Source organism: Homo sapiens, chromosome 13 (genome assembly GCF_000001405.40).
Source record: "Homo sapiens chromosome 13, GRCh38.p14 Primary Assembly".
In the NCBI taxonomy this organism is placed as follows: domain Eukaryota; kingdom Metazoa; phylum Chordata; class Mammalia; order Primates; family Hominidae; genus Homo; species Homo sapiens.
The window spans coordinates 98,532,474-98,545,275 of record NC_000013.11 but is presented as its reverse complement, the minus strand read 5'-3'; the positions used below and the strand labels follow the sequence as shown (position 1 = coordinate 98,545,275).

The 12,802-nt window shown below is 47.2% G+C and overlaps 1 protein-coding gene across 2 annotated transcripts in view, besides 1 other annotated feature; it reads left to right on the top strand.

Moving 5' to 3' along the window:
• STK24 (serine/threonine kinase 24) overlaps window positions 1-12,802 on the top strand; it is a 131,923-nt gene that overhangs the window by 31,832 nt on the left and 87,289 nt on the right. The gene's annotated exons all lie outside the window — the stretch shown is intronic.
• Window positions 8,024-8,887: an enhancer, noted in NCBI's record as "H3K27ac-H3K4me1 hESC enhancer chr13:99188643-99189506 (GRCh37/hg19 assembly coordinates)". NCBI's record gives its function as "activates a minimal SCP1, AML or CMV promoter by ChIP-STARR-seq in primed H9 embryonic stem cells {active_cell/tissue: H9 hESC(primed)}" and the evidence as "EXISTENCE:reporter gene assay evidence [ECO:0000049][PMID:30033119]".

Genomic DNA, 12,802 nt, shown 5'->3' with positions numbered 1-12,802 from the left:
TCATTGCTAACAACTGGGACAGTGCAGAAAAACAGAGAGAACATACTGTTAACATCTCAGTGTACCTCATTCCACATGTTTTCTTTGAATGTGTGCAGGAGTACGCCTGTCCCTCAACCAAAAGGGCACCAATTCCTGTCATTAATTTTACATTGATGTCTACCTAGGTAGTTTGCAGCTTTAAAAACATTTTTGGAAAACTTTGGACATATGAATCTTTTCACTTGTCTATTTCCCTAGGATAAACTAACTGGAAGTGGGGTTTTTGCCTTTTGCTTATTTTCATTTTCAGGTATGGAACATCTTTTCTGATCACTTTTCCATCTTTTTAGCGCTTCCATTCTTCAGATGATATGCTTTTTTGTCATTGTTTTCTACTTTTTGCTGCTTTTAATGTGATGTTTATTTTGATAATGATTTTTATTACCTTCATCTCTAGCTGTGTTAATGCTTTTTGGAGACTTAAAAGGTGCTCCGAATTGTCTGTAATTTCTTTGAGAGTTGAGAGTATTTTTCTGAAATGTTTCCCCTCTCCCTTGGGAATTCGGAAATATTTTCCTTTTGCTTGTTTTCTTTTTCACCACTGTCTTTCCTTGTAGAGGCGTCTCCGCATGCCTCGGTGTGGATTCTTTGGCTTAGGAGGGGACCTGCCATGTACCCTGGCCTCAGGTCGGCTTGGAGGGTGGGGAGCATTGCCTCCTGGGGCGGGCGGCTCTGTCCTCTCCTCTCCGGCCTGCCCTGCCTTCTGCCGGCTGGCTGTGCCTCTGCCTGCTCTACCCGGCGGGATGAGATACTCCAGGGGGGCTGCGCCACTCCCAGTAGGGCCCTTGCTTCCCAGATGCAGGGTCAGGGCCCAGTTGCCTGGGGCCCACAGTGCAAAGCTGGCCTCTCTTCCAGGAAACCTTCCTGGTTAGGGAAGTGGAGATGCCCTCGTGGGCCAGGCCTGCTGGGGACTTCTGTGTCTGCAGTTGGGCCACGGGAACGTACCTGCCACCTCAGTTTCAGAGCCTCCTGCCCCTGTGCTGGCCTAAGGTCCTGCTGTGTTCTCAGTTGTCGCCTCAGCCTGGGGCAGAGGTCATTGTGCCCGGCAGGTAGTCTTTGTCATCTGTGGGTTCAGGTGAGAGTAGTTCCTAGTTTTATTGCAGATGGACTTTTCTTCTCACTCTCCTTCCTTTATTAACTTCAGCGTGGGCCACAGCAGCCTAACGTAAATGCACCTTTCATTTAATGGCTTTTACTAGAAGCCTCTTCATAGCTATTTTTAAACCTGAGGTCCACTAACATGACTCCAAATTAGAGCCAGGATACTCACACTTGCCAATTTACATTGTGTGCTGTTCTTATGAAGCCTAGGATCAAAAAAGACCCAGAAGTAAAATCAAGTTTCTTTTGTATAGCATGTGGTTTATGCGTGTGGGTGACCGAGTCTGCCGGATACTGAGTCGTGGATGGCAGCTTCTGGCGGTGATCCGTTCAATAGAAGCCATTGATGACCGGCACCGCATCTGCAGGCTTCACCCTCGGGGCGGCTGGCAGCTCCTCTCTTGCAGTCGAGGGGTGTCCTGCGTCCTACCATAGTTCAGCACCATCCTTGGGGGCCACTTGGGAGTAGAGGGCTTCCGGGCCCCAGTGCGGGGTCTCCTGTTGCTGCCTCCCCTCTCTCTGTATTCTCTGTCTCTCTGCAGCGATCAGACCCGCGTCTTCGGGTCCGCGCCCACCCTGGCCTCACCTGCTGCTTCTCAGCTGCTGTTGATGGAGACCAGCTGTTTGACCTTTCGTAGTGTGTGCCTTTATTACGCACCAGAATGTTCTGAGAGCAGGACTGAGGCCCCACTCTGAGAGGTGCAGTTTGGGCAGACCGGGAATTTGGGGCAGCTGTGTTTGTGCTTGGAGACCTTTTTTGCTTGGTGCTTCTGGAGGGTCGAGGTTTCTCAAATCTGAGTGCCGAATCAAAGTTGAGTTGTACTGAGAGAGCCGCAGTTAAGTAAATGTATGCAGACTTCCTGTCAGGTCCAGCCGCGGGAGCACATTGGTTGAATTATTCATTTGGTTTGCCCTTCAAGTGTTTAGTTCTCTTTTTTTGGGGAAAAAAACAACTCTGTGGGGACACTTGGATAGAGAGGATTTTCCCGAAGCTGTAAACTTTGGAGGATGGCATGACTGGTCTCCTCCCAGCCGGAGCGGAGCTGCGGCCTCTCCCCCCTCCCTTGGCCTTTGCTGGCACCTGTAAGCCCCCGGAGGCTTCAGTCTTTGGGCCTTCCAGGTCCACGCTAGCTGGCTGCTGTTTTCTGCTACAGGAAGTGGTGGATCTGAGACTTGGTACTCCGTCCCATCGTCTCCACAAATACACCCGTTCCTGTCAGGCCGCGTGTTCTGGTGTTGTTTGGAAATGAGGGGGTCTAGATTTCAACTGACCTCTTACGGACATACAGGGTAAGCGTTGGTACTTGGACGTGTAGATGGAGAAAGTAGAGTAAAAGACAAACGCATAGAAAGTAGATTGCACCATCAGCCTTTCTAGGGCTGTGGGCTGCTTTGCTTCCCGTCACTTTCACTCCAGGAACAAGGGACTAATATGGAAAGGAACCTAGGAACCGGGAAACCCGAGCATTTATTAGGCTCAGCTGTATGATTTTTAATGTGTGTTTCTTTATCTGAAGTGCATGAACTACCTTGTAGGCTGTTTCTTGGGTCTAGGAAGCCATTTATATTTATATGCTGGTTTCCTGAAAAACACAGAGTGCTCTGTGAGTATGAGGGGTTACTGTGTTGTCACTTGAGTTGACCCTGGAGTTTGAGGCTGGCCCTGTTCTGGTTACCATCAGTAAAAGGCAGAGCTGGGAGGAAGTTGGAACCTACCAATTGGCCGTTTTTTTTGTTGTTGTTGTTGTTGTTTGTGCATAGGATGAATGTATTGTTTTTGTCAGTCCTTTTTACCTTAACAGACGAGAGAGTTGGCTGGAATGGTCCCTACTCAGCAATATTTATTTAGGTTTGCACACCTTCCAAAACGTTGCTTATTTAAGTCCCATTTACAATGCTTTAAAATGGCTGACATATCAGTCAGCGCTAGGGTCGGTGGAGTGTGATGTCAAGAAAGTATTAAATCATGAGAGCTGATTACCATGTCCAGAAAATAACGCAGTCTTGTAAATAACCTTTGTCTTCAGGTCGGGATAAGAAATGAGTTATAAACGGCCCATGGTTAAAGTCCTAGTGGACCCTTGGAGAACAGCGGGTGGAGATGGAACGAGCTTTGACTCACTTGTGTTCTGTGTCCTTTGATCTGTGCCAAGGAAGAGATTGCTTTGAAATGCACGATTTTATTTTCTCAACTAAATATTGTAGCAGCAGTAATGGAGTAGTGAGTGGAAAAGTATTGCTCACTCTATTCCACATTTCCCGGAATTTATGTGATACACCCTGCTAACCCCCGGGCTTCAGTAATACCAGTGCGTGCTGTTTAGATGTGCAGATAAAATACACTTCCTCATGGTAAAAGGGTAAAGTGTCATGGATGAGGGCACAGGCTGTTGAGACAAACTGGTTCAAATCTTTCCTACAGTTCATCTCACCTTTGTGTTCTGGTTTCCTTATCTTTGAAGAGATGGGGATTACATGATTTAATTCTGTAGGGACAGCATCTGGTACATTTATTACATTGGCAGCTTCTAAGTCAAAAATAAGAAATATCTCTTGAAAGAATTTAAAAGTTTATTGTAAATTAGGTTATAATTTTCCTGAACCCTCCCACTTTCTGGCTCTGATGCTGACATCATGGTCTCTTTGCTCACAACCTCAAAAGTTTTCATAATACTGCCATTAGGAAAACACTGTTTCCTTTGAACATCTGAACAAACTGCCCTTCATAGTTGGTCGGGATGCAGCTGAAAGTGTTGGGTCCTGATTTTGATCAGCTTGAAGCTGTTCCCAGACCAAACTGAGGGTCAGGCTGCTATTTCTCGGGCCCAATAATGAGATGCAGATGAACTGGAGAGGAAGAGCGTTTTTATTTCCTGCAGCCGGTTACAGGGAGAAGGCCTGGAAATTATCCCCGGACCAACTCAAAATTACAAAGTTTTCCAGAGCTTATATACCTTCTAAGCTATATATTCTTGTATGTAAGTGTGCAGCTAAAGACATTAGTGAGCAACTTCTCTTAGTCTATAACTAAGGTCTGAGTCCTGAAGACCTTCCTCTGGAGCCTCAGTAGATTTACTTAATCTAAATGCGTCCAGGTGCTGGGGTAGATAACCCTTATTTTGTCTCCTGCTAAATCACAGAGGTTTGGGGAGTTCCTTCAGATGCCCAATAACCTTGTCTGTGGAGGCCTGGGGAGCTTCTTCAGACTCCTAGTAAAACTTATTTAATCTTAAATGGGTCCTGTTAAGAATTCTTTGGTTATTTTGTCATGCTTTAAGGCCCAGGAAAGGCCTAGGCAAAACTCTTGGTGGGCTTTTGTTATATTCCAGCTTTGTATAAGGGCAATGGCTTTTTTTTTTTTTTTTTTTTGCTTTTAATATTTAGCTTAACCACTCAGTACTGAAACAGTTGTTATAGAGGCCTGTGTGAGAGAGACTTGGCCTGCCACCAAGCTTCATGGACACGTTGTCAGCTTTGTGGCCTGCACTGGTCATTGGTTTTGGGGATCAGTTAGGTGGAGGAGTAGACAGGAATGTGAAGTTTAGGTAAATCATGAAACTGTGAACAATACTTAGCTTTTTTTGGTTTTGTTTTCAAAAGTCCTTCATCCACTGGGCATTTCAGCTCTCACTTGTGCCAGGCATTTTACTAGATGCTGGGGCAAGATGAACTGAAGGAAGTCTTTGCCCTTAAGGATCTCACAGTCATTTGTGAGAGACAGAAGTCTAAAGGTATGTAATGTGTAGTTTTTCTTTGAAACAGCTTTATTGATACATATTTTACATACCATAAAATTCATTTCAGGTGTAAAATGCAGTGAGTTTTAGTAATTTTACTGAATGGTGCAGCTAGCATCAATCAGAGCAGAACATTTCATCCCCAGTAAGATTCCTCATCGTCATTCACAGGTGATCTCTGTTCCCACCCTAGCCTTGGACAATTCTGCATCTACTTTGTAGCTCTATAAATTTGCCTTTTCTGGACATTTCATGTAAGTCGATCACACAGTATGTGTTCCTTTGTGACTGGCTGCTTTTGCTTAGCATGACGTTCTTGGGGCTCGCAACGCAGCTTGTGTCTGTTGTTCATTCCTTTTGCAGCAGAATCGTATTCTGTTGTTTGGATGGGCCACCTGTTTGTTGTCTGTTTACTCTCCAGCTGGTGGACATTTAGGCCGTTTGCACTGGCGGTTACTGTGAATCATGTCGCTGTGAACATCTGTGTGTGTGTCTGCGTGGACTTGTGTGTCCTGTTCTCTTGGGAATGGAGTTGCTGGGTTAGAGGGTAGGTTTTTTGTTTCCCCTTGGAGACTCTCTGGTTTCCACATATGGTAGTTTTATGCTTAACCTTTTGAGAAATTGCCAAATGGCTTTCTGAAGTGGCCACGTCATTTTGCTCCCTCCAGCCGTTTGTAATGTTCCCATTTCTCCTATGTGTAATTTTAATACAAAGCAGTAAAAAGTTGCCATTATGGACCTAGTAAATTCTGAGGTAACATAAGAGAGAAATAATGATGCAGCCGTCATTACTGTGCTGGTAATGTAAGTTTCCTTTTTTTTTTGTTTTTAAATGGAGCTTTGCAGAGATCAAGTCGAGAGAAGAACACTGGGCCAGCCTGACTCCAAAGCCTACTCTCTTAAGCACTTTGCTTTGCTGACTTGTGATGTTTTAAAATCTAGCATTATTTTCAAATGCTGTGAGAGCACTGAAGATAAAGGATTTGATTCTTTTTTTCAGGCATCCAAGGATGGTTCATCATCAAGAATCATTTTAATATAGGAAGGGGACGACAGATTATGGTGCCAATAGATGTACTCCTACTTCCATTGCAACATTAATATTGTTATATAAATATGGCAAAATGGAGAAAAGCAGCCGAATCACAAAAAGAGTTGCATTATAGTATTTGCTCTCTTGGAGGATGTTAGTATTGTAGCAGGCTGAACCCACCCATGGAAGAGGTGTGTGCTTCAGGGCGGCACAGCTGGAGTGAGCCGAATGGAAATGGAAAATTGTGTACAAAGTGCGCAGCAGGCTGAGCCTTTGATGGAAACAGCGGGTGCTCTGCTGTGTACAGCTGGATGTCAGGTCTGGGGAGTGACTGTGTGTGAGTCTTGGCTGTCGCCCTTTCCTTTCTGTGTCCCCCTCCCCACCAGCCCTGACTCCTGTGTCTCCTTCGAATGCCTTCCAGAAATTGTGACAGGTGGCGAGGGCAGAACAAAGTATTATCTTTTCTGTGGTTTTCTCAGTAATTATGAAATTTTCACCTGTTTGGGCCTCACCGAGGAGCAAGAAAGAAGGGACACCAGGGCCTGAGTGTGGGAAGGAGGCAGTGGCAGTGATGAACCTAGGAGGTCAGGCGGCAGGTGGGCTGCTCTGGAAGCTCCCTCCAGGAGGTAGGGTTTAGCACAAGGCATGGTTTTGTAGGCAGGTGTGTGCATGCATGTGTGTGAATGTGTATGTGTGTACCAGAATAGAGGACTAGGAGAAAGAAGTGGCAAGAGACTGGGCAGAGAATGAATAAGATGAGCTCACAAACTCCCCTTGGAGCAGAAGATCAGTTGAAGGTGCAGTAAGCTACTGCTTGAGGAAGGGATTAAAAATAGGCACCAAGCCGCGGTGGCTCATGCCTGTAATCCCAGCACTTTGGGAGGCCAAGGCGGGAGGATCACCTGAGGTCAGGAGTTTGAGACCGGCTTGACCAACATGGTGAAACCCCATCTCTACTAAAAATACAGAAATTAGCTGTGTGTGGTGGTGGGCACCTGTAACCCCAGCTACCAGGGAAGCTGAGGCAGGAGAATTGCTTGAACCTGGGAGGCGGAGGTTTCAGTGATCGAGATCATGCCACCGTACTCAAGCCTGGTCAACAGAGCGAGACTCCATCTCAAAAAAAAAAAAAAAAAAAAAGCAAGCACCAAAGCAGTGATTGACCTAGCCGATGGAGAATACCCTTTCCTTCACTAAAACCTGAAGCTTAGCATGGTTCTTGGGAAGGAAGTTCTGGAAGTGATGAGGATTTGTTGACATCCCTGTGGATTAGTGACATTGATGGGCACCAGAAAGCAGGTGTCTGTTGTGACAGAAAACCAGGGTGGAAGCTACAAGTGACATCTACAAGGTAGGCCCTGCCCACTCTGACCTCCAGCTGCACCCCGAGCGGAGCAGCTGGGGCATCATGGAAGTGGTTGGGCCATGCAGCGGAGCCCTGAGCCCCTCAGCAGGTTCATCCCACAGCCCTGTGTTGTGGGTACTCTTGTTATCCCCATCTATAGAAGAGGCAGCTGAGGCACAGGGCGTTTAAGTGACTTTGTCAGTCACTTAAATCGAATCCCTCATCAGAGCTGGGGATTCGATTCAGGCAGCCTGGCTCCAGGAGCTGAGCCCTCAGCCCCTGCACTACACTGAGGGGGCAGCAGAAAGGAACCCAGGTGAAGACTATAAAGATCGCCACCTCCTCTTGCTTCTGTCTCACATTCTGTACTTACGGGTGCACGTCTCCACCTGCTTGCTGCTTCCTGGGCTGTTGGCATGCACCTGGGTGGAGCTGGGGCCCCTGTCCTGCTGTGGGTAGTGAGGCCGGCACCCTGGCCAGTGCGTGGCCCGGTCCTTAGTCTGGAAGGTCTGTCTGCCTCTCGTGCCACAGCTGGCGGCTGGGGCCTCAGCTCCTCAGCTGCACTCGCCTCACTTGTTTATTCAGCTGATGGGGTTGAGGTCTCCCGTGTGCCGGGCACTGTGCTGTTGTGAATGAGCCCGCTGCTGTTCAAAGCAGACATCACAGCGGCCATAGGGTAACGCCATCCAGGGGGAAGGCCCCACTCCAGATGAGGTGTGTGTGTTTGTGAGAGGCCCCACGAAGACAGGTGTCCTTAGCCATCCCAGCAGCCTCACCCAGGAGGACTGCCTGATGGGAGCCCTCTGAGGGCCACTGTCTAGAGAGGTGGCACTGCACAGGTAGCCTGCTCCTTCAGAGGTAGGTCTTGAGGGGGTCACAGTGTAGGCTGAAGAACGCTGGCTTGAGGACTCAAGGAGCTGAAGGCCACCATCCTGGCTCTCTCCCTGGGTGAGTGACTTACTTGCCAAGCCTCCCCTTCTCATCTTTGGAGGCGGCTGCTTCAAGGGGTTTGGGGGAGGTAAGGAGATGAGCCGGGAGGGGCGGGCTCCGGCCAGTGTCGGGGGCACACAAGGGCCTGCTTCCCCCTCCCTTTCACTGGGCGACTGGAGGACAGGCGGAGGAGTGTGGCTGGGCGGCTGGAGGACAGGCGGAGGAGTGTGGCAGCCGGACAGCTGGAGGACAGGCGGAGGAGTGTGGTGGCTGGCAGGGTATGTGTTTCTGGTTCTGTTGAGTGATGCTTGGAAGATCGTTCTGAGAGGTCAGGGCAGCTCCCGGGACCCCAGAGCACTGGGCTCCTGCAGGGGACTAGGAGGCCGGCTTTTATCAGCTCATGAGCTTTTAAAAATGGAGAGAAGGGCAGGTGTGGTGGCTCATCCCTATAATCCCAGCACTTTGGGAGGTCGGGGTGAGAGGATCATTTGAGCCCTGGAGTTAGAGACCATCCTGGGCAACATAGACCCCGTCTCTACAAAAAGTAAAATAACAGTCAGCCAGGCATGGTGGCACACATCTGTAGTCTCAGCTACTTGGGAGGCTGAGGTGAGAGGATCACTTGAACCCAGGAGTTTGAGGCTGCAATGAGCCATGATTGTGCCACTGCACTCCTGTCTGGGTGACAGGGAGAGATCCCTTCTCTTGGAAGAGAAAAAAAAAAAAAGATAGAAGAAGAATATGCAACAGAGACAATTTAGTCCCCAAAGCCTAAGGCATTTGTTTTCTGGCCCCTACTGAAGTGTGTTGGCCTGGAGCTTGCAGGGTTTCTGTGAGATGTAGGATTTGGCTCACAGATTGTATCTTGATTGCTCACGTTCCCTCTTGCCCTTGCTGCCCCACCTAGGGAGAAAAGAACACTCAGTGACATTTTTCCCCCCGGTGGGCAGGATACGTGTGTTCCTATTTGTGACAAATCAACCTTGTCTATGACCTTCGCACCTCCATTCCAGGAATTTCCCCTTCGAGGCCTCTAAAAGCTAAAAGATTTTCAGGTAAAGGAAATGCGTTATTAATTGAAATCTGCATACACCAAAACGATTTGGTCTGGCTTCTAGAATAGTCAGTTTCCTGATACTCATCATTGCTTCCATCAGTTCTTGTAAAATACAGGAAGGTGAGTTCACCTGTAGGGAATGGGAAGTGGTATCACATTTTACTCCTGGCATTCTAGTGTGATGACAGGATGAGCCTTGCCACTTAGGTGCCTCTGGAGTCAGGCACCCTGTGAAGCTTGCAGCTCATGAGCACTTTGCAGTCCAGAGAATGACCCATGATCCTTAAACCCCGCTTCCGAGCTGTGGGGGATCTTGTGTAAGATCTGTGCCCGAATTGTCTCAGCTGTGTAATGAGGACAGTGTTCTCTTTCTCATGGGGTGGTTGTGAGGTCTAGAAACCGTATTTGTGAACGCTGCCCAGCACAAGGCCTTCCCGTGGGAGGAGCTTCAGCAGTGGGAGCTGCCACTGTTTGTTACTGTTTATTTGTACACTGGGTATGTTTTCCATGGCTTTTGTTTGCATTTTGATTTTAATAAAGGAGGTGCCAGTTTCACTTTCCAAGGAACTATATACTTTATTTGGAATGCATTGCGTGTGTGTGTGTGTGTGTGTGTGTGTGTGTGTGTGTGTATACACACATATATATATATATATATATTTTTTTTTTGTTTGTTTGTTTGTTTGTTTGTTTGAGACAGAGTTTCGCTCTTGTTGCCCAGGCTGGAGTGCAATGGCGTGATCTTGGCTCACTGCAGCCTCCGTCTCCCAGATTCAAGTGATTCTCCTGCCTCAGCCTCCCAGGTAGTTGGGATTACAGACACGTGCCACCACGCCCAGCTAATTTTGTATTTTTAGTAAATACACGCTGGTCAGGCTGGTCTTGAACTCCTGACCTCAGGTGATCCGCCTGCCCCAGCCTCTCAAAATGTTGGGATTACAGGCGTGAGCCACCACGCCTGGCCCGTTGCATATTTTTTATCAAATTCTTGCCTGATGAAACTCCTGGTTATGCTGTCAGGGCCTGTTTGTTGGGACTGCCCAGTGGGTTCTCCTTGCCTGCTGCCCAAACAGCTGATTTATCAAGACAGGGGAATTGCAATAGACAAAGAGTTTAATTCACATAGTGCTGGCTATACAGGAGACCAGAGTTTTATTGTTACTCAAATCAGCCTCTCTGAAAATTTGGAGATTGGGATTTTTAAGGATAATTTGGTGGGTAGGGGTTCAGGAAGTGGGGAATGCTGATTGGTTGGGTCGGAGATGGAATCATAGGAGATTGAAGTGGGTTTTTTGCTGTTTTCGGTTCCTGGGTGGGATCCCAGAACTGGTTGAGCCAGATTACCGGTCTGGGTGGCACTAGCTGGTGCATCAGAACACTGGGTCTGCAAAATATTCCAAGCACTGATCTTAGTTTTTACAACAGTGATCTTATCCCCAGGAGCAGTTTTGGGAGGTTCAGAATCTTGTAGCCTCCGGCCTGCGTGACCCCTAAACCATAATTTCTAATCTTGTAGCTAATTTGTTAGCCTTACAAAGGTAGTATAGTCCCCAGGCAAGAAGGGGGTTTGTTTTGGGAAAGGGCTATTACCATTTTTGTTTCAAAGTTAAACTATAAACTAAGTTCCTCCCGAAGTTAGTTCAGCCCATGCCCAGGAATGAAAAGGACAGCTTGGAGGGTAGAAGCAAGATGGAGTCGGTTAGGTCAGATCTCTTTCACTGTCATCATTTTCTCACTGTTAGAATTTTTGCAGAGGCAGTTTCATTGTCATCTCAAACCGCAGGCCTCGTCTTTGAGCCAGGGAGCCTTCTGTTGAAGAAAAGTACCCCACACAACCACTGAGAGATCCTGGGGCAGGGCTGAGGTTCCCTGGTGGGGACTCCGGGGGTGCTGGAGCTTTGTGACCATGGGCCTTGCCTCCTCGGCTGCCTCTGCTATGAAGCCTCATGCGGTTGGAGGAGGATGTGGATGAGATGACCAAGCGGGGTGCCCGCTAGCACCAGGTGGTGGGTAGGCGTCGGCAGACTAGGAGAGCCTCAGAGCCTTTGTTTAACTTGTGCTGAGAAGGAGTGTGACTCCAGGAGAGTTGGGTGGAGAGCCTCACCTTGGCACACACTATGCTGTGTCCAGACTGGACCCCATGGTGTCTGAGCATTATTCTCTCTAGGGTCACCTTCCCCTGCACTGTGACCTTGCGGAGCTTCAAACAGTGGTTTCCTAAGGTAACAGAGCAGGTGGTGGTGTGGTGCGTGTGCGTGTGTGTGTGTGTGTTGGGTACTGAGGCCACAGGCGATAAACTGATCTAGGTGGTATAGTAGTGTTTTTCTCATTTTTAATACTTTTCAAAAATCGAATTTATATTTTTCTTTTTTATTTTTAGAGATGGGGGTTCTCATTTTGTCACCCAGGCTGGAGTGCAGTGGCTCAATCATAACTCATTGCAGCCTCAAACTCCTGGGCTCAAGTGATTCTCCCACCTCAGCCTTCCAAGTAGCTGGGATTACAGGCTTGAGTCACGAAGCCCTGCTATATTTTTAACTTAGCTAGAGCATTTCTATCTTAAGTATTTTTTTATAGATAGTAGATGCTAGCACTAGGGTTTTCCTTAATTAAAATATTAAGTATTCCTTAATCTTTAGGAGATTTAGGAAATATTAAGGAATTTAGGAAAACTGAGATAGTCTCGCTCTGTCACCCAGGCTGGAGTGCAGTGGTGCAATTTCAGCTCACTGCAACCTCCACCTCCCAGGTTCAAGTGATTCTCATGCTTTAGTCTCCTGAGTAGCTGGTAGCCTGGCTAATTTTTATATTTTTTGTAGAGATGGGGTTTCACCATGTTGGCTAGGTTAGTCTTGAACTCCTGGCCTCAAGTGATCCACCCACCTCAGCCTCCCAAAGTGCTGGGATTATAGGCGTGAGCCACCACACCCGGCCTGAAAACTAATTGATTGTGTAGACCTAGACTTTGCAATTCATAGAATTTAATTTCTCTTTGTGCCAATTTTCTGTTTTGTCAAATACTGTAGGATATTTATTCAGCTTGTCCTCTAGATGATGTGATTATTGTAGGGATAAAATAAAGTGTATACTATGGGAGAAATGAGTTTACTAAACCAGATGGTGGGGGCATTTGTAACGCATTAATACAGCTCAGGTAGATAAACTGAGTAGTGCCACTTACAGAAGTAAATTATCTGTTCATGGACACAGACTAGGAAGAACTTACATTGTAGTAATTAGTAGATTTATTGTAATGTGTAGAAAAGCATGTTACTGTATAAAAATGATTTGTTATCAGTAGGCTAGAAATAACACTTTTCTTCGAAAGAATATTTGAGGACTAGAAAAATCTGTCAATTCTTTGAGCTTCTTGGAGCCATTTGCTAAAGATAGGTATTTGATAAATACTGATTTTTATTTTGGAGACCTTAGATTAACCAACTAGTTCACCGTACACGAAGCACCCTTTGGGGCTCACCTCCAGAGAGGTTAGAATGGGTATGGGATGTGTGTGTGGGATGGGTGTGTGGTGGGTATGGGATGTGTGTGTGTGGGAT